The sequence below is a fragment of the Homo sapiens genome, chromosome 3 (genome assembly GCF_000001405.40).
Source record: "Homo sapiens chromosome 3, GRCh38.p14 Primary Assembly".
In the NCBI taxonomy this organism is placed as follows: Eukaryota; Metazoa; Chordata; class Mammalia; order Primates; family Hominidae; genus Homo; species Homo sapiens.
In genome coordinates, this window is record NC_000003.12 from 118,988,694 (window position 1) to 119,013,869 (window position 25,176).

At 39.2% G+C, this 25,176-nt stretch overlaps 1 protein-coding gene across 11 annotated transcripts in view, besides 1 other annotated feature; it reads right to left on the bottom strand.

The window, feature by feature from the left end:
• Positions 1-25,176, bottom strand: part of IGSF11 (immunoglobulin superfamily member 11) — a 245,464-nt gene that overhangs the window by 88,137 nt on the left and 132,151 nt on the right. The gene's annotated exons all lie outside the window — the stretch shown is intronic.
• Positions 17,940-18,540: an enhancer, noted in NCBI's record as "OCT4-NANOG-H3K27ac-H3K4me1 hESC enhancer chr3:118725480-118726080 (GRCh37/hg19 assembly coordinates)". NCBI's record gives its function as "activates a minimal SCP1, AML or CMV promoter by ChIP-STARR-seq in primed H9 embryonic stem cells {active_cell/tissue: H9 hESC(primed)}" and the evidence as "EXISTENCE:reporter gene assay evidence [ECO:0000049][PMID:30033119]".

Genomic DNA, 25,176 nt, shown 5'->3' on the forward strand with positions numbered 1-25,176 from the left:
TAAAAAAGCATTGCATTTGTAACTCAAAGCAACTATTTGCTTAAAAAAAAACTTGCTTCAATGGCACTACGAGTTCTATTCTCCTCTCCTACAGCAAAGAACTGTTTTATCACTTGTGCTAATAATATGGAAATGTCTCCTTCCTGAACTGTGAGGTTTCTCAGAGATCAGCAAAACTGAAGCACGTTACAACATTAATATCTCTACTTCAGACTGAGTTAGAAAGCTCTTTCTCCAGTAGACTTTCACTATGACATCATGAAGTTCTAAGTCCCATATAAACTAAAAGAAAACCCTACCCAAAGAAATGCAGGCCAGTTGTGATTATAGGGTAATAAGACCAATGCTACCCTTAATTCATTCAACAAACATTTACTGATTAACCCTGTGTCATGAACTATTTTAACTAAGATTTTGAGAGGAGGGAACAAAAGATGGGAAGACAAAACACAAGATCAATCAGACACAACCCTTGTCTAGTGAGGAAAGCAAGAGCAAATACACAAGCAAAGGACTGTAAAATTGTTTGATAAATGTTACAAAGCAATGCTACCCAAAATGTGGCCCTGGACCAGTGCAGACCTGTGAATTGTTGGTTGTTGATCCACAAGAAGATGGCTAAATACACACGTTAAGAGTAAATATATAGAAAACCTTTATAGCATTTTTTTTTTTTTGAGACTGAGTCTCGCTCTGTCACCCAGGCTGGAGTGCAGTGGCGCAATCTCAGCTCACTGCAACCTCCGCCTCGCGGGTTCACGCCATTCTCCTGCCTCAGGCTCCTGAGTAGCTGGGACTACAGGCGCCCACCACCACGCCCAGCTAATTTTTGTATTTTTAGTAGAAGACACGGGGTTTCACCATGTTAGCCAGGATGGTCTCGAACTCCTGACCTCGTGATCTGCCCGCCTCGGCCTCCCAAACTGCTGAGATTACAGGCATGAGCCACCACACCCAGCCCCTTTATAGCATTTTAATAGTAATTTTAGGTCTGTTGAAGCTAACAATTTTTTAAATGAGGCTATCTTATGTTTTTTACACTTCATTTTTCTAGTATTTCATTTTTATTACATTTTACAAAATCATCAGCCCAAAAATAGTTTAAGGAGCAATGAATAGAGTGACATAACAGAAGTACTATTTTCTATACTATACTATACAAACACAGATGAAAAGAAATGGCCTTTCGGATTTAAGAGAGGCTCTAAAGGGGAGATAACTTTTTAGCAGCAAAGGATAAGCAGGGGTTTTCCAGACATATTAAGGAGAAGTATCAGGCAGAGGAAGAGCATCTGCAAAGGCTCGGGGTCATACTAGTGGATGGTATTTTTATAAAAATAAACTTTGAGGCACAGTAATAAACAGTAAAAGTGCAGAAAGTTAGGTTACAAAGAGATTCACAGAGACTGGCATGATTTTACAGTTCAGGCTTTGGACTCTCCCCCAAAATGCAATAGGGAACCACTGAAGAGTTTTATAAGCAAAAGAAGGATATATTTATGTTTTCATTGTTCTGACAGCAGTGTGGTAGACAGATTTGAAAGGGAGAGAGAATAGAGGGAGGGATACAGACCAGTTGTGAACATACTGAAATAACCTAGATGTGAAGTGAAGAGAACCTGCATTATATCAAGGAAAACAGGCAAGAAAGAATGGCTTAGAGAAATGTTTTGAAAGTATGGATGCATAATGTGCCTTACTTAAGATGGGTCAGAATCTGTAATTAGATTCTGTTCACTCAATTCAATTAAGTGTCCTGATGTTATGAAGGGGAGATCAGTAAACATAAAGATGCTAAGTAAGTTAACTGAGAGATAGGAGATAGACCTGGGAATGAAATACAAAATTCTAGAAAAATCTTGGGTTTTAATAATCTTACATAGATTCACATATATATAAATGGAGAAGAAAAATGGATAAAGAGTTATAGCCAACACATTTATTTTCCACATTTTATGTACAGAGCAGTATTGTAGACACTATGGAAAATCCAAAGGGAAACAATATAGTCCCTTTCACTGTTTCTAACCCCTGGGCAACTTGAGGGTCTCCACCTAGAAGTTAGTTCTGGACAACAGAAACCTGAAGTATTTCAATAGATTTCAAACCAAGACTCATTTTTTCAACCCAGAGAAATCCTGTGGGTTCAGGGAATCTCTAAAGGGCAAGGGTATGTATATATGTGTAGGTAGGAAGGGAGAGTTCCTTGATTGGAAGAAATGAATATTTCCTGAAATGTTCCCAAGGAAAATACAAGTCCCTTGAATGAAATCCGTTGAATCAACCAGCTCCTCTGGAATTACCTAGTCTCTAAGGAATGCACAGCCCTCTCAAATCCAATATAAATTCCACAGAGATCCAGAGAATTGCATCTCCTAAAAATACAGGTCACAGGCTTAGGGAGCCCATAAAACTCACTTAGAAAGGACCAGAGTGGAAGCACTGGGCAAACATACACCATTCTTCTGGGAGTATTTTTTAAAATGCAACAGAAAATTAGACGGAGTCAGAAACAATTCAATTATTGTTCCATCACAGATATTCTGTATCCCCACTAACCATAACACATACAGGGAACACCACTTATCATAACACTATTGTTGTGGGCAGGCCCAATATCTATGTTATGGTGGTCTGACCGTGTCTTATGAGGCTCTCATAAGTGCCTACTATATTTCAGGGCACATGATTTTACCAAAGTATGTAACAGGCTTAGTTTTATAACAACATCTACTGTATTCTAGTCATGAACTGGGATAAATAAGCCTTTTTGTACTCCACAGCTGCATCTATTCAAGTGAAATACCACAATTAACCTGTGAATTTAATCTAAATATTCAACAAGTATACAAAATTAAATATTAAAAAGTTTAATTTCCCTAAAGAGTAATAAGCTTTTAACATAAAATCATCAACTGCCACTTAATTTTCTTTCATAAAAACATTATTAGCCTCTGCCTTTGTAAAATGACAATGGATATAAGATAAATGCTCACGTATAAGAGAACAGAACATAAAATTATCTCCTAAGAGCATTAACTACCATTTTTTTAATTTAGAAAATGAACAAATTCTCAATCAGTGCCTACCATCTGCAAGACACTATTGGGAATCAATGGAAAACAAAAAGATCTAATTATCCACAAGGTCTGGAAAAGATAGAGAACAGAATCACTTAATACCACCAGTGTATGGAGGTAAGCAAGGAGAAGCTCTCCATTCAGTCTCCAAGATCCTCTGCTAGTCCCGTACAATGCACCAGCATGGAAAGTGATGAATAAGCTTCATTGATAATAGTGACTACGTCACAGCTGGCTGAACATTCAGTCCACAAACAGAAGGCTTCTGTATTTGCTCGAATCAACCATAGGAAAGTTTTAGCAAAAAGACTGTTATATTCAAATGGAAATCAGTACTTTCCAGCAAGAATAGACAATTAGTAATTCCTTTAACTGGCACTGAAAGGAAGAAAAGAGAAATGTACCAAAAATTATCACAAACAACCTATATTCCAAAATATGAAACAAATAAGAAAGATGACTATTGTTAACATTTTGAAAAACTCACGTAGCAGACATAAGGTAAGTCTGGATGTTATGAGTCTCCCAGTTATCAACTTATACTGATAAATTTTATCCAACTACTCTCCCTTTGTAAATTTCTTATTACATAAAGTTTAAACTGTAGTCCAAGATTTCAGCACATAGTTAATTTAGATGGCGTTCTTTAAACATTTAGCAAAAAGTGCAAAGTCTGTTTATACAACATTTGAATCTACATTTTAAAAGTGTTTATTCACCAGATTAACAGATTCTTGCAAATATCTCTTCAAGACTAGCAGGGCACATAATCACCAACCTCACTCCAATCCCCAAGCACACACACAATTATGGCCTATCTGACTTATGGATCTGGTTTTATGAATCTGATCCTGCGACTATAGAAGTTTGCAGGCCCTTAATTAAGTTACAATTATTCCATGGCTACCTTGGTGTTGAAAAACACAAATGTCAAGGAAATAGGCAAAAGAAATTTCACTGGAGTTAAAGCACTTATTTCCTAGATATAATGTCAAAAGCACAAGTGATAAAAGAAAAAAATTGAGGTTCAACTTTATGAAAATTAAGAATTTTGGTGTTCCAAATGTGACACTACCGAAAAAGTGAAAAGAGAGCCAACAGAATGGAAGTCATACACAAGGGATTTGTATCCAGCATAAATAATCTTAAAATTCAGCAACAAAAATACAAATAAAGGTCAGGTGCATCACATCTAGAATACCAGCACCTTGGGAGGCCAAGGCAGGAGAATTGCTTGAAGCCAAGAGTTCAAGACCAGCCTAGGGAAAATAGCAAGACCCTGTCTCTACAAAAAATTTAAAAATTAGCTGGGCATGGTGGCACATACCTGTAGTCCCAGCTACTCACAGTAGGCTGATGTGGGAGGATCATTTGAGCCCAAGAGTTCAAGGATGCAGTGAGCTTTGATGGTGCCACTGCACTCCAGCCTGGGCAACAGAGCAAGATCCCAATGAAGTAAGTAAATAAGTAAGTAAATAAATAGGCAAAGACATGAAATGATGTCCAGTATCATTAATCATTATAAAAATGCAAAACTACAAGATACTATTTCAAATCCATTAGAATGGCTACAATTAAAAGACAATAACAAGTGTTAACAAGGATATGGAGAAACTGGAGCTTTCAGACAATTCTGTGGAGAATGTAAAAGAGTGCAGTCACTTTGGAAAACAGTTTGGCGATTAAACAGAGTTGCCAATTCTGTAATTACTAAGCAATTCCACCTTTAGTTATATATGCAAGATAAATAAAAACATATCACATAAAAACTTTTACCTATATTTATAGAATATGTGTTCACAGCATGATAGCCAAAAAGTAGCAACAACCCAAATGTCCATCAACTGATGAATGAAAAAATAAAAAGTTATATATCCATACATGTAATATTATTCAGCAATAAAAAGCAATAAAGTAGTGATAAACGCTAAAACATGGATGAACCTTGAAAACATTATATAAAGTGAAAGAAGCCAGTCACAAAAGACCACATGTGGCATGACTACATTGATAAGAAATGTTCAGAAAAGGCAAGTCTATATAGATAGAAACTAGATTAGAGGTTTCCAAGGACTGAGAGAGGGTGCAAGGGTGTGGGAAGTGAATACTAATGGGTACAAGTTTTCTTTCTGGAGAGTGATGGAAATGTTCTCAAATTAGATAATGGTACTCGCTGCATAAATTTTTTAAACATACTGCAAACAATCAAATTGTACACTGTACATTGGTAAATGTTGTGGTATATGAATTATATGTCAATAAAATAGTTTTGCATTGTGCCAAACTGCAAACCTTTTCACACTTCTGAAAGCAGTCCCTCAAGCTACCTGATATCTGATGGGGAAAGGCACATATGAAGTAGAGCAATTATTCTCCTATCAACCTGTGTCTATATCTCAAGCATTAATCTAGAGTTGGGCTGGCTCTGGGGGCACCAGAGAACTCAATGTATACATCCTAAACATTATGAATTCCTAAGAATTACCGAAGCCTAGCAGCACCTACTGCCAATTTTGGTTCCATTTACTTCAGTAAACATTGATTGAGGCCCATAATTGGCTAAGGACTACCTCTAGAATACAAAGACAAAAGAAATAGTGGGGCTGGGCACAGTGGCTCATGCCTGTAACCCTAGCACTTTGGGTGGCTGAGGCAGGAGAATCCCTTGAGCCCAGGAGTTTGAGACCAGCTGGGGCAACATAGTAAGTCCTCATCTCTACCAGAAATAAACAAAATTAGCCAGGTGTGGTGGCACACAACTATAGTCCCAGCTACTCAGGAGGCTGAGATGGGAGGATCACTTAAGCCTGGGAGGTTGAGCCTGCAGTGATTCAAGATCGCACCACTGCACTCCAGCCTAGACCTTGTCAAGAGAGAAGAGATGAGACGAGAAGAGGAAAATAGTGGGCCTAATACCCAAGGAGTTCACTGCTTGTTAAGTCTAAGACAGATACATATGCCCATGGTTCCAGTTCAGTATACCATGTGCAAACTACAGGAATAAGCATGGCGGCAGAGAAATATTACAGAGAAGGGAGTAGTTAATTTTATCTCAGTATGACCCACACAGGTTTCACAGGAGTAAGAATACCTGAGCAGGGCTTTAAAGGATTGGTAGACAGGAGAGGAATGGTACAGGGAAGAACGTGGAGGAAGGAAAGCAGGCCACAGTCAAGGCAATGAAAAGGGGTTATGTAATAGAAAAGCGGCTTGAAGGGCTGAAAGAAATTTGGAAACAAAATTAAGCGTCATGCAAAAAATGTCAGAAGATGAGTTTGGGGAATTAAGCTAGACTATGCATATGCTACAAATTTCAAACCTTCTCCTAAGGCAACAGTGAGGCTTTGAAGGGTTTTAAGCAGGTGAATGAAATTATCAGATTTATTTTAGAAATATCACCCTAGCCAATCATTTGCAGAATGACGATTCACTAGAACAAGGGTTCTCCAGGTTTTATTCACCTAAGTAATCACTTTTCATGTGCTTTCAAATGCAATGTTACATAGTAACCCGAGACGAAAGAAAGCAAAAAGCAAATCACTTCTGGTTGAAACACTGGAAGGCCTGGAGCCCTGTACAGGCAATGATCACCGTTTAGCCCCCACAACTGAAGAACCCTGACAGCTCAGCAGAAGATGGTGTGGAAATTTTTGAACTAAAGAGAGGTATTAATAATAACGGAAGACTGGAGATTAATTAAGAAGCTAGTTTAATAGTCCAGGATAAAATGATCAGTACCTAAAACAACAAAGAAGAAAAGAGAGTCCAGAAAGCTCCAAACAAAAACAACTGACAGAATTTCAAGACTGACTAGATGTAGCATAAGAATGAAGACAGAATCAAGGATGACTTCCGGGCTTATGGTTTGCTTGTTTATTTATTTATTTATTTATTTTTGAGACAGAGTCTCGCTCTGTTGCCCAAGCTGGAGTGCAATGGCATGATCTCAGCTCACTGAAACCTCCACCTCCTGGGTTCAAGCGATTCTCCTGCCTCAGCCTCCTGAGTAGCTGGGACTACAGGTGCCCGCCACCACGCCCCGCTAATTTTTTTTTATTTTTAGTAGACAGGGTTTCACTGTGTTAGCCAGGATGGTCTCGATCTGACCTCGTGATCCGCCCGCCTCGGCCTCCCAAAGCGCTGGGATGACAGGCGTGAGCCACTGCACCTGGCTAATTTTTTGTATTTTTAGTAGAGACAGAGTTTCACCATATTAGCCAAGCTGCTCTCAAACTCCTGATCTCAGGTAATCCACCTGCCTCAGCCTCCCAAAGTGCTGGGATTACAGGCGTGAGCCACCACGCATGGACAGCAAGCAGGTTATGGTTTAGGTGAAGGGAAATGACTCGGTTGATAAAATGGACAGGGATACTTGGCTTATCTAAAGATACTTCAAACTTAGTAATTCCCAAAATTGAACTCTCTTGCCCCTTGTCAAACCTGTTAGTGTTAGCAGTGTTAGCAGTTTCATATCTCAGTACATGGCACCAGATTATGCTGGTGCTTGAGACAGAAGCCTCAGAATCACCTCTGGTAGCTACTCCCACACATTCCATACATTAAGTCCATCACCAAGTGTCACTGATTCTAATTTCAAAATTTGTTTCATTTATCCACCACTTCCATCACCACTGCTACCACGCTACTTCCATGCCACCATCATCTTATACCTTGATTTCTACAACAGCCTCTTAATCCAGTTTCCTTGCTACTATCCTTGACTCACTCCAAACCATTCTACACACAACAATGAGCTTTATAAACCATAAAACCCTTCCGTGGATTCCCATTGCACTTTAAAGACAAAGAACATGTCTTGTTTTTTTTTTGTTTTTGTTTTTGTTTTTTTTGAGTCTCGCTCTGTCACCTAGGCTGGAGTGCAGTGGTGCGATCTCGGCTCACTGCAACCTCTGCCTCCCGGGTTCACGACATTCTCCTGCCTCAGCCTCCTGAGCAGCTGGGACCACAGGTGCTTGCCACAATGCCTGGCTAATTTTTTGTATTTTTAGTAGAGACGGGGTTTCACCGTGTAAGCCAGGGTGATCTCGATCTCCTGACCTTGTGATCCGCCTGCCTCGGCCTCCCAAAGTGCTGGGATTACAGGCGTGAGCCACCGCGCCTGGCCGAGAACATGTCTTGTTTTATTCATCTTGGGACACTCAGTGCCTAATACACTGTAGACAATAAATATTTTTTAAAAGAACAAAAAAGAAAGGATCAGGCCTAGAGTAAGATGATGAGTTTTATTTCAGGATTCTTGGATTTGAGGTGTCTATGGGATGTGCAAGGGGTGACCCTATGGCAACTGGTAGTAGGAGCCTGAATCCAAACTGACATTTGGCCTCACTATTTCAGGACTAAACAGTAATAGGATCCTGAATCCAAACTGACATTTGGCCTCACTATTTCAGGGCTAAACAGTAGTAGAAGCCTGAATCCAAACTGACATTTGGCATCACTATTTCAGGACTAAATAAGTAGAGTTATCTACGGTAAACAGGACTAAGACTATTTTAGATAATCATAAACTAAGTTAACAAAGCTTGAAGCAAGCTCAGCTTCTTAGAAAGATTAAAGTGTCTCTCTAATCTGGAATTCTGCAGCACTGGGTCAGGTCTAGGTCAGCATTTCAAGGACCACAGAAACCAGTGACCTAGCACTAGATTTGTGGTGGAATCTTTACAGAAGCCATTTGGCAGCAAAGCCTGTGATTTGCTCACTTTCTTCAAACTATTTTCACAACACCTCTGCTGCCCCCCCCCAGCCACACCACCCCCCTCCCCCGGCTCCCTGATGTCCTCACCAATTTCCAAATGACTTCTCTATTAGTTAATCATGAATCTTACCTGACTCTCAGACAGCACATCTAGGGTGGTGCCTAGAAGCCTGTATTCTGACAACTATACCAGGCAATTGCTCAGTCTGGGTAAAATTAACAGTTTAGAGAACATATGCAAAAGTTACCTTCATTCCTCTCTTCTACTGACCCTAGATAGCTGTCTTAGGACGTTACTGTTATGAGGACTTTCAAACAATAATAAAATTGTAATTTATTGCAGATTTCCTACAGTACTACACAAAAATATTTAATATAATGTACTGTTCATGGCAAATGCTAAGAACTTCCAGGTTTCTAATAAGTAACCATTACTTTTCCAAAGACACATGTAAGAGACACTGATTATAATATCCAATATCCCTTTTCCTCCTTAATTTCTGCCAACATCAGTGTTTAACTACTGTATACAAACACTTCAAGTTTAGTAAGCTGGTAATGGCGCTTCTATTTTGATTTTTAAGTCAATATATAAAATAATAATATATTTTCTTTTAAAACAGAGCTTCTGAGAACCTCTGCCTACATATCCAGGGAATGTGTACAACAGTAAGTGTCAGATGAGTTGGCTTATGACCTAATTGTTTGGTTTATTATTCAGGTGATCAGAGGTGACAGCCTGGTAACTTTGTCAATCCTAAGGTTTTACACTGATTTACACTTGGTTTTAAATCAATTGTTTTATATCTATAAAGGACTACTGGTTAAATACAAGAAATATTAGAATTGTTGAAGTCAATAAGGAACATAAATGTTAAATCCTGAAACTTCAACTCAAGATGACTTTTACCAGCTCTGTATATTGCATTATCTGATCAAATTTCTTAAGACTTAAAAATGTCTCCAATACTTCAAAATCCATTGGGGGGGAAAAAAAAGAAAAAATGAAAACGCAGCAAACATAACATCAAACTGACTTCTTTCATTTATGGTGAATAAGTATTATCTGCACCCACAAAGTATTATTTGCAAAAAAAAAAAAAGTTTGCAAATAGCAATTTCAAATATGTCATATTTTACTGTATTTTAAAAGAAAGCCCCAAAACTATTTTTTATAAATAAGGAGAAAATACAAGACTTTCAACTGCTGGGTGACAGACTAAGGTTTTTATTTATTTTTGATGCCTCAATATAACCTTAAATTTCAATTTGCCCTTTAATCTACGCTCATTCCCAAAAGCATGTGATTTTAAAAGTTGACAAATGGTATCTATTTTATGCGGTTAAATTAAGCAACCTTTACATTGTAAAACAGTATGTACAAAGTTATTCATTTTGGCATTGTTTATAATAGTAAAACAGTGGAAACCATCTAAGTATTCATCAATACAGGGTGCAAGTTATGTTACATCCATACAATGAAATGTTATGAAAAAATTTTTTAATAATAAGGAAATGGGTATAACTGTGCTACTACTTGTGTAGGAAATGGGGGTGCACTGGGGAATATGTAAATATATTAGACTGTATATGGGTAATATAACTCTAGAATTATACTTTAAAAAAAAAATCTGACAATACTAATGCCCTGTGGGGAAACAAATCGAGTGAATGGGGCCAGGATATGAGAAAAACTTACTAATAAATATCTTACTTTTTTTGAAATTTGAGCCATATAAATATATTAGCTAAGAAAGAAATGGTCAAAATAAATAACATTTTTAAAAAGTGAACCATGTATAAGAGTACTTGAAAAGAAATGAATACTTTCGAAAACATATTGCTCAATGACTAGGTTATATATAATTACACAGATAAAACCAATGTGGAAAGAAACTGCTATAATTATGTCTTCTCTTAAAACTTCTCACTATGTACTCCATTGAGTAATATGACATATAAAATTCTAGAGTTAATTTCATCCCAAACCCTTCAGATGTTCCATCAATGGTTGAAACAGCAACAACAATGGGTTCCTTCACTCTTCAGGACTACAGGAAAAAGGCAGCAAACATAAGGTTCTTGACATATCCTTGTAAGTGACTGAGCAAAAAATTTTGAAAATATTCAATTTTTCTCATTGCACTGTATGTCACTTGTTAAATGAAAAGTCAAAATGTCTCTTCATTCATAATGCTATATTAAATCATATATTAAAATAAACTTCATAACACTACTTAATAATACAATATCCATTTAAAATCCATATCTTATTCACGTTATCTTTTATAGACCCAAAATGACAGAATGCTTTTTAAAAAATAATTCATAGAGCATTCTTCAGAAATAAGGTCTTGGGTCCAAAAAAGTTGAGAACAAAGCAAGATGACTAGAGTACCAGCAACCGACACCCAGAGTTGTTGGAAAACAAAAATCAACAATGTAAAACAAGATGAACAAAAATGGTTGGCTTCTCAATTAACCATCTAAATTCAAATAGATACTCCCACTATTCATCCCTCACTAAGTTCCTGACAGATTGGCTTTAAAAGCTCTTCCAAAGATTCATTATTCTTTTTTTTTTTTTTTTTTTTTTGGTGGTGTAGTGCAACCCATTTATTGTAAATATGAAGAAATGCCTGGTTGTCCTCCTACCTCTCTGGCTGCTCTTCTCAATCTCCTTTGCTGGATTCTACTCTTTTTCTACCATCTAGGCTCTTTAGGACTCTGTCCTTGGACCTCTCCTCTTTCCACACTCATATTATTTGATGATTCTTTCTAATCTTATAGCTTTTAATTCCATCTGTGCACTCTTGATTCACAAACTTATACCTCCAGGCCAGATCTCCCTTTGGAACTCCAGTCATATTTCCAACTGCCTAATTGACACCCTTCTGGGAAATCTAAGAGATTGCTCAGAGTTTGCACGCCTCAAATGAGACTCTGGGACTTCTGCAAAGTCTATTCTATCGTATTTAATGGCAACTCTGTCCTTCCAGTTGCTAGGACCCAAATATCTTAGTCATCCTTGACTATTCTTTTTTTTTTTTCGTATGGCATGCATCAGATCCACCAAGAAATCCTGTAGGTTCTCCCATCCAAATATATTTTGAATCAAACCACTTCTCTTTCATCATTATTAATCTGTGTCATACCATCATCATTTCTCATCTGAATTATTCCAGTAGTGTGTCCTCTTAATCAGGATGATAATTTTGAAGACTCAAAGGGAGAAGGGCATTAACAATTGCATTGAAACACATTGCCCAAAATTATTCTGGGCAAACAGGTCACTCTTAACTCATCTTCCTGTCCCCTTGAAGTTGAATCCTAATATATTAGCCAGAGTGCCTCTGTTCAAATCTAGCTTTAGATCATATCACTCGGTTGTAATCTCTTCAATGGCCCTTTGTTTCACCCAAAGTAAAAGCCAAAATCCTCACAAGGTTCTGTGCTGTCTGCTCTTTCATTGCCCAGCAACCATATTTTCTATAATATTCCTTGCCTATTCTGACTGTTTCTCCAGCAGTGTTTTTGCTGTTCTTCAATCATGCCAAGCATGCTTCCACCTCAGGACCTTTGTACTGGCTGTCTCTCTGTCTGAAATGTCCTTCCCCTAGATGTCTGCATGGCTGCATCCTTCAATTCGCCTATATCCTTCAATTGGCACTTAGTCATTTAAGCCTACCCTTGTCATGTTATGTTAAATTATAATAATCCCTTTCCTCTCCATATTTCTTTCTGTTTTAATTTTTTTCATAGTACTTGCCGTCCTCTAATATTTTATATAATTTACTTACTTATATTTATTTTCTGTCTTTTGCCAATAGAATGTAAATTCCACATGGGCAGGGAACTTCTTTTTGCTTGGCTTCTAGTGTACTTCCTGAGCCCAGAACAGAACCTGGCACGCAGTGGTAACTCAAAAGATATTTGTTTTTTGCTTTAGTTTTTGTTTTTTTCTGGCCCCAGGTTTTCTTTTTTTTTTTTTTTTATTATACTTTAAGTTTTAGGGTACATGTGCACATTGTGCAGGTTAGTTACATATGTATACATGTGCCATGCTGGTGCGCTGCACCCACTAACTCGTCATCTAGCATTAGGTATATCTCCCAATGCTATCCCTCCCCCCTCCCCCCACCCCACAACAGTCCCCAGAGTGTGATATTCCCCTTCCTGTGTCCATGTGATCTCATTGTTCAATTCCCATCTATGAGTGAGAATATGCAGTGTTTGGTTTTTTGTTCTTGTGATAGTTTACTGAGAATGATGGTTTCCAGTTTCATCCATGTCCCTACAAAGGACATGAACTCATCATTTTTTATGGCTGCATAGTATTCCATGGTGTATATGTGCCACATTTTCTTAATCCAGTCTATCGTTGTTGGACATTTGGGTTGGTTCCAAGTCTTTGCTATTGTGAATAATGCCGCAATAAACATAAGTGTGCATGTGTCTTTATAGCAGCATGATTTATAGTCCTTTGGGTATATACCCAGTAATGGGATGGCTGGGTCAAATGGTATTTCTAGTTCTAGATCCCTGAGGAATCGCCACACTGACTTCCACAATGGTTGAACTAGTTTACAGTCCCACCAACAGTGTAAAAGTGTTCCTATTTCTCCACATCCTCTCCAGCACCTGTTGTTTCCTAACTTTTTAATGATTGCCATTCTAACTGGTGTGAGATGATATCTCATAGTGGTTTTGATTTGCATTTCTCTGATGGCCAGTGATGATGAGCATTTTTTCATGTGTTTTTTGGCTGCATAAATGTCTTCTTTTGAGAAGTGTCTGTTCATGTCCTTCACCCACTTTTTGATGGGGTTGTTTGTTTTTTTCTTGTAAATTTGTTTGAGTTCTTTGTAGATTCTGGATATTAGCCCTTTGTCAGATGAGTAGGTTGTGAAAATTTTCTCCCATGTTGTAGGTTGCCTGTTCACTCTGATGGTACTTTCTTTTGCTGTGCAGAAGCTCTTTAGTTTAATTAGGTCCCATTTGTCAATTTTGGCTTTTGTTGCCATTGCTTTTGGTGTTTTGGACATGAAGTCCTTGCCCACGCCTATGTCCTGAATGGTAATGCCTAGGTTTTCTTCTAGGGTTTTTATGGTTTTAGGTCTAACATTTAAATCTTTAATCCATCTTGAATTGATTTTTCTATAAGGTGTAAGGAAGGGATCCAGTTTCAGCTTTCTACATATGGCTAGCCAGTTTTCCCAGCACCATTTATTAAATAGGGAATCCTTTCCCCATTGCTTGTTTTTCTCAGGTTTGTCAAAGATCAGATAGTTGTAGGTATGCGGCATTATTTCTGAGGGCTCTGTTCTGTTCCATTGATCTATATCTCTGTTTTGGTACCAGTACCATGCTGTTTTGGTTACTGTAGCCTTGTAGTATAGTTTGAAGTCAGGTAGTGTGATGCCTCCAGCTTTGTTCTTTTGGCTTAGGATTGACTTGGTGATGCGGGCTCTTTTTTGGTTCCATATGAACTTTAAAGTAGTTTTTTCCAATTCTGTGAAGAAAGTCATTGGTAGCTTGATGGGGATGGCATTGAATCTGTAAATTACCTTGGGCAGTATGGCCATTTTCACGATATTGATTCTTCCTACCCATGAGCATGGAATGTTCTTCCATTTGTTTGTATCCTCTTTTATTTCATTGAGCAGTGGTTTGTAGTTCTCCTCAAAGAGGTCCTTCACATCCCTTGTAAGTTGGATTCCTAGGTATTTTATTCTCTTTGAAGCAATTGTGAATGGGAGTTCACTCATGATTTGGCTCTCTGTTTGTCTGTTGTTGGTGTATAAGAATGCTTGTGATTTTTGTACATTGATTTTGTATCCTGAGACTTTGCTGAAGTTGCTTATCAGCTTAAGGAGATTTTGGGCTGAGACGATGGGGTTTTCCAGATAAACAATCATGTCGTCTGCAAACAGGGACAATTTGACTTCCTCTTTTCCTAATTGAATACCTTTTATTTCCTTCTCCTGCCTGATTGCCCTGGCCAGAACTTCCAACACTATGTTGAATAGGAGCGGTAAGAGAGGGCATCCCTGTTTTCAAAGGGAATGCTTCCAGTTTTTGCCCATTCAGTATGATATTGGCTGTGGGTTTGTTATAGATAGCTCTTATTATTTTGAAATATGTCCCATCAATACTTAATTTATTGAGAGTTTTTAGCATGAAGGGTTGTTGAATTTTGTCAAAGGCTTTTTCTGCATCTATTGAGATAATCATGTGGTTTTTGTCTTTGGCTCTCTTTATATGCTGGATTACATTTATTGATTTGCGTATATTGAACCAGCCTTGCATCCCAGGGATGAAGCCCACTTGATCATGGTGGATAAGCTTTTTGATGTGCTGCTGGATTCAGTTTGCCAGTATTTTATTGAGGATTTTTGCATCGATATTCATCAAGGATATTGGTCTAATATTCTCTTTTTTGGTTGTGTCTCTGCCCGGCTTTGGTATCAGAATGATGTTGGCCTCATAAAATGAGTTAGGGAGGATTCCCTCTTTTTTTATTGATTGGAATAGGTTCAGAAGGAATGGTACCAGTTCCTCCTTGTACCTCTGGTAGAATTCGGCTGTGAATCCATCTGGTCCTGGACTCTTTTTGGTTGGTAAACTATTGATTATTGCCACAATTTCAGCTCCTGTTATTGGTCTATTCAGAGATTCAACTTCTTCCTGGTTTAGTCTTGGGAGAGTGTATGTGTCGAGGAATGTATCCATTTCTTCTAGATTTTCTAGTTTATTTGTGTAGAGGTGTTTGTAGTATTCTCTGATGGTAGTTTGTATTTCTGTGGGATCGGTGGTGATACCCCTTTATCATTTTTTATTGTGTCTATTTGATTCTTCTCTCTTTTTTTCTTTATTAGTCTTGCTAGCGGTCTATCAATTTTGTTGATCCTTTCAAAAAACCAGCTCCTGGATTCATTGATTTTTTGAAGGGTTTTGTGTGTCACTATTTCCTTCAGTTCTGCTCTGATTTTAGTTATTTCTTGCCTTCTGCTAGCTTTTGAATGTGTTTACTCTTGCTTTTCTAGTTCTTTTAATTGTGATGTTAGGGTGTCAATTTTGGATCTTTCCTGCTTTCTCTTGTGGGCATTTAGTGCTATAAATTTCCCTCTACACACTGCTTTGAATGTGTCCCAGAGATTCTGGTATGTTGTGTCTTTGTTCTCGTTGGTTTCAAAGAACATCTTTATTTCTGCCTTCATTTCGTTATGTACCCAGTAGTCATTCAGGAGCAGGTTGTTCAGTTTCCATGTAGTTGAGCGGCTTTGAGTGAGATTCTTAATCCTGAGTTCTAGTTTGATTGCACTGTGGTCTGAGAGATAGTTTGTTATAATTTCTGTTCTGTCACATTTGCTGAGGAGAGTTTTACTTCCAACTATGTGGTCAATTTTGGAATAGGTGTGGTGTGGTGCTGAAAAAAATGTATATTCTGTTGATTTGGGGTGGAGAGTTCTGTAGATGTCTATTAGGTGCGCTTGGTGCAGAGCTGAGTTCAATTCCTGGGTATCCTTGTTGACTTCCTGTCTCGTTGATCTGTCCAATGTTGACAGTGGGGTGTTAAAGTCTCCCATTATTAATGTTTGGGAGTCTAAGTCTCTTTGTAGGTCACTCAGGACTTGCTTTATGAATCAGGGTGCTCCTGTATTGGGTGCATATATGTTTAGGATAGTTAGCTCCTCTTGTTGAATTGATCCCTTTACCATTATGTAATGGCCTTCTTTGTCTCTTTTGATCTTTGTTGGTTTAAAGTCTGTTTTATCAGAGACTAGGATTGCAACCCCTGCCTTTTTTTGTTTTCCATTTGCTTGGTAGATCTTCCTCCACCCTTTTATTTTGAGCCTATGTGTGTCTCTGCACGTGAGATGGGTTTCCTGAATACAGCACACTGATGGGTCTTGACTCTTTATCCAACTCGCCAGTCTGTGTCTTTTAATTGGAGCATTTAGTCCATTTACATTTAAAGTTAATAGTGTTATGTGTGAATTTAATCCTGTCATTATGATGTTAGCTGGTGATTTTGCTCGTTAGTTGATGCAGTTTCTTCCTAGTCTCGATGGTCTTTACATTTTGGCATGATTTTGCAGCGGCTGGTACCGGTTGTTCCTTTCCATGTTTAGCACTTCCTTCAGGAGCTCTTTTAGGGCAGGCCTGGTGGTGACAAAATCTCTCAGCATTTGCTTGTCTGTAAAGTATTTTATTTCTCCTTCACTTATGAAGCTTAGTTTGGCTGGATATGAAATTCTGGGTTGAAAATTCTTTTCTTTAAGAATGTTGAATATCGGCCCCCACTCTCTTCTGGCTTGTAGGGTTTCTGCCGAGAGATCCGCTGTTAGTCTGATGGGCTTCCCTTTGAGGGTAACCCGACCTTTCTCTCTGGCTGCCCTTAACACTTTTTCCTTCATTTCAACTTTGGTGAATCTGACAATTATGTGTCTTGGAGTTGTTCTTCTCGAGGAGTATCTTTGTGGCGTTCTCTGTATTTCCTGAATCTGAACGTTGGCCTGCCTTGCTAGATTGGGGAAGTTCTCCTGGATAATATCCTGCAGAGTGTTTTCCAACTTGGTTCCATTCTCCGCATCACTTTCAGGTACACCAATCAGACGTAGATTTGGTCTTTTCACATAGTCCCATATTTCTTGGAGGCTTTGCTCGTTTCTTTTTATTCTTTTTTCTCTAAACTTCCCTTCTCGCTTCTTTTCATTCATTTCATCTTCCATCGCTGATACCCTTTCTTCCAGTTGATCGCATCGGCTCCTGAGGCTTCTGCATTCTTCACGTAGTTCTCGAGCCTTGGTTTTCAGCTCCATCAGCTCCTTTAAGCACTTCTCTGTATTGGTTATTCTAGTTATACATTCTTCTAAATTTTTTTCAAAGTTTTCCACTTCTTTGCCTTTGGTTTGAATGTCCTCCCGTAGCTCAGAGTAATTTGATCGTCTGAAGCCTTCTTCTCTCAGCTCGTCAAAATCATTCTCCATCCAGCTTTGTTCCGTTGCTGCTGAGGAACTGCGCTCCTTTGGAGGAGGAGAGGCGCTCTGCATTTTAGAGTTTCCAGTTTTTCTGTTCTGTTTTTTCCCCATCTTTGTGGTTTTATCTACTTTTGGTCTTTGATGATGGTGATGTACAGATGGGTTTTCGGTGTGGATGTCCTTTCTGTTTGTTAGTTTTCCTTCTAACAGACAGGACCCTCAGCTGCAGGTCTGTTGGAATACCCTGCAGTGTGAGGTGTCACTGTGCCCCTGCTGGGGGGTGCCTCCCAGTTAGGCTGCTCGGGGTTCAGGGGTCAGGGACCCACTTGAGGAGGCAGTCTGCCCGTTCTCAGATCTCCAGCTGCGTGCTGGGAGAACCACTGCTCTCTTCAAAGCTGTCAGACAGGGACATTTAAGTGTGCAGAGGTTACTGCTGTCTTTTTGTTTGTCTGTGCCCTGCCCCCAGAGGTGGAGCCTACAGAGGCAGGCAGGCCTCCTTGAGCTGTGGTGGGCTCCACCCAGTTGGAGCTTCCCGGCTGCTTTGTTTACCTAAGCAAGCCTGGGCAATGGTGGGCGCCCCTCCCCCAGCCTCGCTGCCGCCTTGCAGTTTGATCTCAGACTGCTGTGCTAGCAATCAGCGAGACTCCGTGGGCGTAGGACCCTCCGAGCCAGGTGTGGGATATAGTCTCGTGGTGCGCCGTTTTTTAAGCCGGTCTGAAAAGCGCAATATTCGGGTGGGAGTGACCCGATTTTCCAGGTGCGTCCGTCACCCCTTTCTTTGACTCGGAAAGAGAACTCCCTGACCCCTTGCGCTTCCCAGGTGAGGCAATGCCTCGCCCTGCTTCGGCTCGCGCACGGTGCGCGCACTCACTGGCCTGCGCCCACTGTCTGGCACTCCCTAGTGAGATGAACCCGGTACCTCAGATGGAAATGCAGAAATCACCCGTCTTCTGCGTCGCTCACGCTGGGAGCTGTAGACCGGAGCTGTTCCTATTCGGCCATCTTGGCTCCTCCCCCAGATTCATTATTCTTAAACTGAACTCCTATCACACCCTTCCAACCTTTGGCAAACACCTCATTTTTTATCTTTATTAGACTAAATTGAAGGAATTCTCCCCCAACCATCTCAGAGTATCCACTTTTTCACCTATCCTTTCCCCTTCTCTCCAACACCACAGAAAGCAGGGTAAGCCCCATCCTTGCTTTAACCCATCTCCCAACCTCTACCAAGATCTTGTTTGCTCAATCATCCTACAACTCGACATTTCAAGTTTTCCCTTTTCTTTGGTCCCTTGCTTTATGCCTTCAAAAAAGCAAAGATCTTCTGATATTTTGAAGAATGTATCTTGATCATGCTTCCTCCTTTATCATATTTCTTTCCTTTTTCTAGTCAAGCTGCCTAAATATGTAGTTCACTTCCATTGCCTCCTCCTTCTTCCCTCAGAAAATATATGCTTCGGCTTCAAATCCTCTACTAAAATAGCCTTATCAAAGTTCCCTAATGTCCTCCTAATCATCGACTCAAAAGTGAAAGCAACTTCCATGTTAATCTACTCCATTCACTCCCCTCTACAGACAAGGAAGCTGAGACCTATGAGAGATTATTTTTACCAATATTATAGTGACTCTTGAGGGTTGAAATCTCAACAACCTTCCATCCAGAAGAATAGACTTTTCTTGGTTAAGAAATGAACAACAACAACAAAAAAAACGTAAATAAAAACTCCAGATTATTTCAGAAATCTCCACAAAAGAAAAAGCCACATTTGTCTAAAATAGAAGTCAACGGGAATATACCAAGAGATCATCCAAAACCCATTCCAATTGTCTTTGGAATATGGCCTTCCTTGCACTTTTTGAATTCCAAAATCTCCAAACCAAATAATAAAGTTCCACTGTGGAAGCTTTTCAGGAAAGTCAATTTTTTCTCTACTCCTCTATCTGCCATGCACTATAGTACACAGTCTAAATCTGGATATTAAAAGATCCTGTACAGAAACCTAGGGAGTATTCAGAGAGGTAGAAAGAGAATCAGGGAAACAAGGAGGAGGAAGTTTTTAGGAGGAGGAAGCAATCAACAGTGCTAAAAGCTAATTTTTCACATCTTCTCCCCTATACACCTCCACAACATTTTTGGTGATTCTGAATAAGTCCACAGAGTGTTCCTGAATTAGGGTATAATCTCTTCTACAAAGAAACATGCCCATCACCTATGAGGGTTAATGTGCCAACTTGACTGGGCTATGAGGTACCCAGATATTTGGTCAAACATTATTCTGGGCATTTCTGTGAGGGTGTTTTTTAATGAGATTAACATTTAAGTCATTGGACTGAGTACAGCAGATTGTCTTCCATGTGCAGGTGGGCCCCATCCAATCAGGTGAAAGCCTGAAAAGAATGAAAGACTGACCTCCGAAAAGCAAGAGAGAATTCTCCTGCCAACTGCAACATCACTTCTTCCTGGTTCTATAAGCAGCTTCCAGCCTTCAGAGTCAAACTAGGATACTGCCTCTGCAGATACTGGACTTGCCAGCCTCCATATACACAGAAGCCTATTACTTGTAATAAATTTATTTATACATACATACACACACACATACACACACACAAATTTCTCTGGAGAATCTTAATACACCATCTGAGCATGAAAAAGTACACATTCTTTAGTCTATTTCCTTCAATGTTCACCCTTTCAGACTAAATTTTAGAGGCCAACTAATAATCTTAGAGTAAAACATTTGAAATTCTGTTACCCAAGCTTTCCCATCTTGCATAAAGCCCTTTGCAACATCCATGTTACCAAAAAAAAGAGCAAAATGAAGACCAAAAACAAAGAACCTATAAATAATTGATATGGTTTGGCTGTGTCTCCACCCAAATCTTACCTAGAATTGTAATCCCCACGTGTCAAGGGAGGGACCTGGTGGGAGGTGATTGGATCATGGGGGCAGTTTCCCCCATGCTGTTCTCATAGTGAGGGAGTTCTCATGAGATCTGATAGTTTTAAAGGTGGCAGTTTCCCCTGCATTCTCTCTCTCTCCTGCTGCTTTGTGAAGAAGGTACTTGCTTTTCCCTCACCTTCCACCATGACTATAAGTTTCCTGAGGCCTCCCAAGCAATGTGGAACTGTCAGTCAAATAAACCTTCTTTCTTTATAAATTACCCAGCCTCAGGTAGTATCTTAATAGCAGTGTGAGAACGAATACAATGATCAACAGGAATTAACAGATAAAAAGATTATTTTCCTTATCATTTCGCCTGATTATTTTGATTGTTAAGTAGTTGGGAAATTTCATAGGCTTTTTGCTTTATTTATTCCTGTTTTGTCATGCTACTTTCAACTACCATACAAATTGGGAAAAGGCAAGGTACTATAAGGAACGTAACATCTACCTTGACATCTACCTTGACATCTACCTTGAATTATACTATACCTAGATTACAGATTAAACAATTTAAAACATAAAATCATGTTTTATTTGCTAAGAGTAAGATATTTTGATATTTTGAATATGAATTTAATAAAATTAATAATCAGAATGAGTAGAAGCATAATAAACAAAAAAGGGAAAAGAGATGGAAAGACAGATGAAAAAAGTAGAGAAAGTCATGCAGAGAAGAGTCATCCTATTGGCCTCCTTCTGGGGCGCTGTGAAGTGTCAATTTGTTTTCCTTTCCGTCAGACTCCTATTGCAGAGCTGAGAAGATTCCCTGCAGGAACCACAGAGTATACCCATGGAACAGGACTCCTTCTGGCAAAGCAGTGTACATGAGGTTACTGAAATTCAGCTGGTATTCCCCAGCAACCTTCTCACTCCACTGTCTTGTTTAAAAGGAATAAAAAATAGAAATACCACAAGAAGGAGAAAAGTAGGAAAAGATGAGAGCGACGGTTAATTGTATGTGTCAACTTAACTAGAGTAAGGGATATCCGGAAAGTGGGTAAACATTATTTCTGGGTGTATCTCTGAGGGTGTTTCTGGAAGAGATTAGCATTTTAATTGGTAAGCTGAGTAAAGAAGATGGCTCTTCCTTATGTGAGTGGGCCATTTAGGGCCGAAATAAAAACAAAAGGCAGAGGAAGGGTGAATTAAACTCTCTTCTGTAGCTGGGACTTCCCTCTTTCTTGCCCTCAGACATAAACTCCCAATTCTCAATCCTCCAGGCCCACTGGACTGGAGCTACACTACTCACTTTCTTGGGCCTCCAACTGACCAACAGTAGATCATGGGACTCTCAACTTCCAATGCTGTGTAAGCCAATCCCTCATAATAAATCTCTTTCTACATATCTATATATATCTAATGGTTTCCTTTCTCTGGAGAACCATGAATGATATACCTTCCCAGGTTAGCAAACACCAAGGATGCTTCTCTAAATACCTGTGTACTCAAGAATGGCAGCCAAAACAGGACATCTGGCTCTCTTCAGTAAATGTAATTTTAGACTCAAGGAATCATACTAGTTAAAAATGAACTAAGAAGTCATTCAATTCATTCCTCCTACTTAGAAGTTACTGAGATAAAAAGCACTTGAAGAAAAAATCATTGCAGGTTTCATATGGAAGGATAAGCTTCTAACAAATTAATCCTTCCACAAATAACAACGTTGGACAACATATGAAAAACAATTACCTGAGGGCTCTGGCAAGTGACCAAAACCGGCCATGTTTGGGAGGGAAGTCTCAACTGTGGAAGTGACTGGCGTGGGGCAAATTTCAGGGTTTTGCAGCTTTTCCCTGAGGACCATGGTGATCGTGGTGCTGGGCAGCTAAGCTCCCATTAAAAAAATAAAACATCTAAATGGCCTGTAGAACCAACAGAAGGAACTCAGAAACCAGAGCCCCCGGATAGTGAGGGAAAACCATGGAAAAGAGAGACCAAGAGAAGGAGAACATCAAATTCTATATAAAAAGTCTGCCCAAGTTTTAGACCCCTGAAGCACATGTGCATGGGACAGACCAAAATTAGTATAATCTGTGAGAAGAGCCACCACCTACTGTGGCCACAGCATGTGGAGGCTGAAACTCCAGTAGAAAAATCTGCCATCCTTCTGTCAGAAGAAACCAGGGCCCAAGGCAACATAGGCTACCAGAGAGAGAAAGAGGAACCCTGGAAAGAAGAGGGCCACAGAAGGAGAACCCAAAATTTTATAGAAATACTATATAAGTATCTGGCTAACCAAGGAGCCATATATGTACAGGCCAGACTCAAGGCGGCCTGAAATTAGATCTGAGTCACCATCTATTGCAGGCATAACAGAGGCTGCAGCTTGAGTCTAACCATGTTAAATGCCTGCTTACAAAGGAAAATATTCAACATACTTTGGATCAAGATAACAGAAACCAGAATCTTACAACACAGCATTCAAAATGTTGAACATATAATCTAAAATTAATCCTCTAAAAAAAGGCTAAGAAAATCTGATTCATTCTCAAAGAAAAAGACAATCAACAGATGCTATATAGTGTTCTGTGTGTGTGTGTGTGTGTGTGTGTATACACACATATATATAGGTATATATTCTTTCCTCTAGCAATATAGTGTACACACACACAGAGAGAGAGAGAGAGCGTGAGTGCGAGAGCACTAGAAAGAATTACTGGTGGCAAGTTGAGGAATGGCGTTGCAAGGGTCCATTCCCAGGAAGCATAAGATAGAAAAGAAAAGTGAGACACAGGCAACTCAATATCCCAAAAAATACCCTTAAAGACAAGAGATTGCCAGAGATTCTTGGGGACCTCTGAGAAATATGGAGAAACTGGCAAACTATCAGTGATTAGTCTCTCAAGGCAAATTCAGGAGAAAAAAACTACAAAGGTCTGCTATTCTCAGAATTATTCATTATGGTATTTCCAAACCTTTCGTGAGCTTCCCAAATAAGTTCTAAACTATAATTTTACAGGTTTTAGTCAACATATTTGTAATTTATATACCAACCCTCCAAAAAAAGGTGGCTTAGTTTGTGCTCAGAGGTATACTGTTTAGTAAACTGAAACTAAATTTCCACTTTACCATGCAATCTAGATTTCTAAGATCTGGCTGGCTCATCAACACAAGAAGTAGAAAATGGATACAAATGGCTATAATTCGGTCTCAATACAACACCAGTAACCTCTCAGTTTTTCACATTTCTCATCTCTTAAATAAAACTCCCATCAACATTTTTTCCCTTCATACATTTCCCCCATCCACTTTTATTTTTGCTTTGAAACAGAAATTATAACAAGTGTTTTAAAGATCTATTGAAAATCCATCCCTTTTCTTAAATTTAATTTACTAGCACTTATGAGGAATCTCACATGATCTTTAACAACCACGACAGCCTCAACTGATCTCCTCCGGTCCACTTCCAATCCATCCTCCACACTGCTGCTAAAGTCAAATTGCTAAAAAAGCAAGTTTAAGCAAGTTATTCCTCTATTTAAAACCCTTGGAAGCCTTCCCACTGCTCAACGGATAAAGTCCAAATATCTGGTGCTTGCCTATCCTTCTGGCCCCATCTCCAGCCTCTGCTCCCCTTAAACCCTACCCTACTCTCCAGTCATGTAGAACTACTTGCGGCTCCCAGGCTATTTTATGCCTCTGTAACTCTGCTTACCCATTCTCTTTGCCCAGAAAGGCTAGCTCTCCCATGCCCTCTCCTTTCCCCATTACCTCCTTGCTTCCTGAACTTCTATGGAGTTCTATGAAGACTAATCACATCTTGGAGGATAAACAGAAGTTCAGCAAGTCCATCCTTCTAGGCTCACTTCTTCTGCCCCTCATCTTGCAAGACTTCCTTTGGTGATGGACTCAGACTGGTTTCTGCAATTTCCTCTTGGAACTTTGGAATAAAAGTGGTTCTATCAACATATTCATTTGTATAAAATGTGATTCCTCACAAAACTCACACTCCAATGAAAGGCAATCTGCATATACAAACCTCCTCACTTGTTTGGTTATTGCTTTTTTATGTCCCTGGATCCCTTTTTGGTCTCCTCAACTTAACTGTAACAAAGAGAAGTAATGTCTTCTAGTGGTGGCCGACACTTAGCTCCTAAATAAGTTTCCCAATGAATTTTGGTAATTGAAAACATAAGGCAAACAGTATCGATTCTTTTGACAATGTTTATTAGACATCGACTAATAAATGTGGGCCAGGCACTGTGGTAGATTCTGGCGACACAACAGGATACAAAAGAATTTATAGACACATATTCATTTATAAAAACAAAGAACTTTGTAACTTAACAACAAAAGATACGTTAGAGACCATGGAGTCCCATCCACCCATTTTACAGTGGACAACGTGTGTCTTGCCCAAATTCACTCATCTAGTTAATGGCAAAGATAAGATACAAGAGTTTTCTCATTCAATGTCTCTCTCTTTCCAACCTATTTTACCAGTCTGAAGG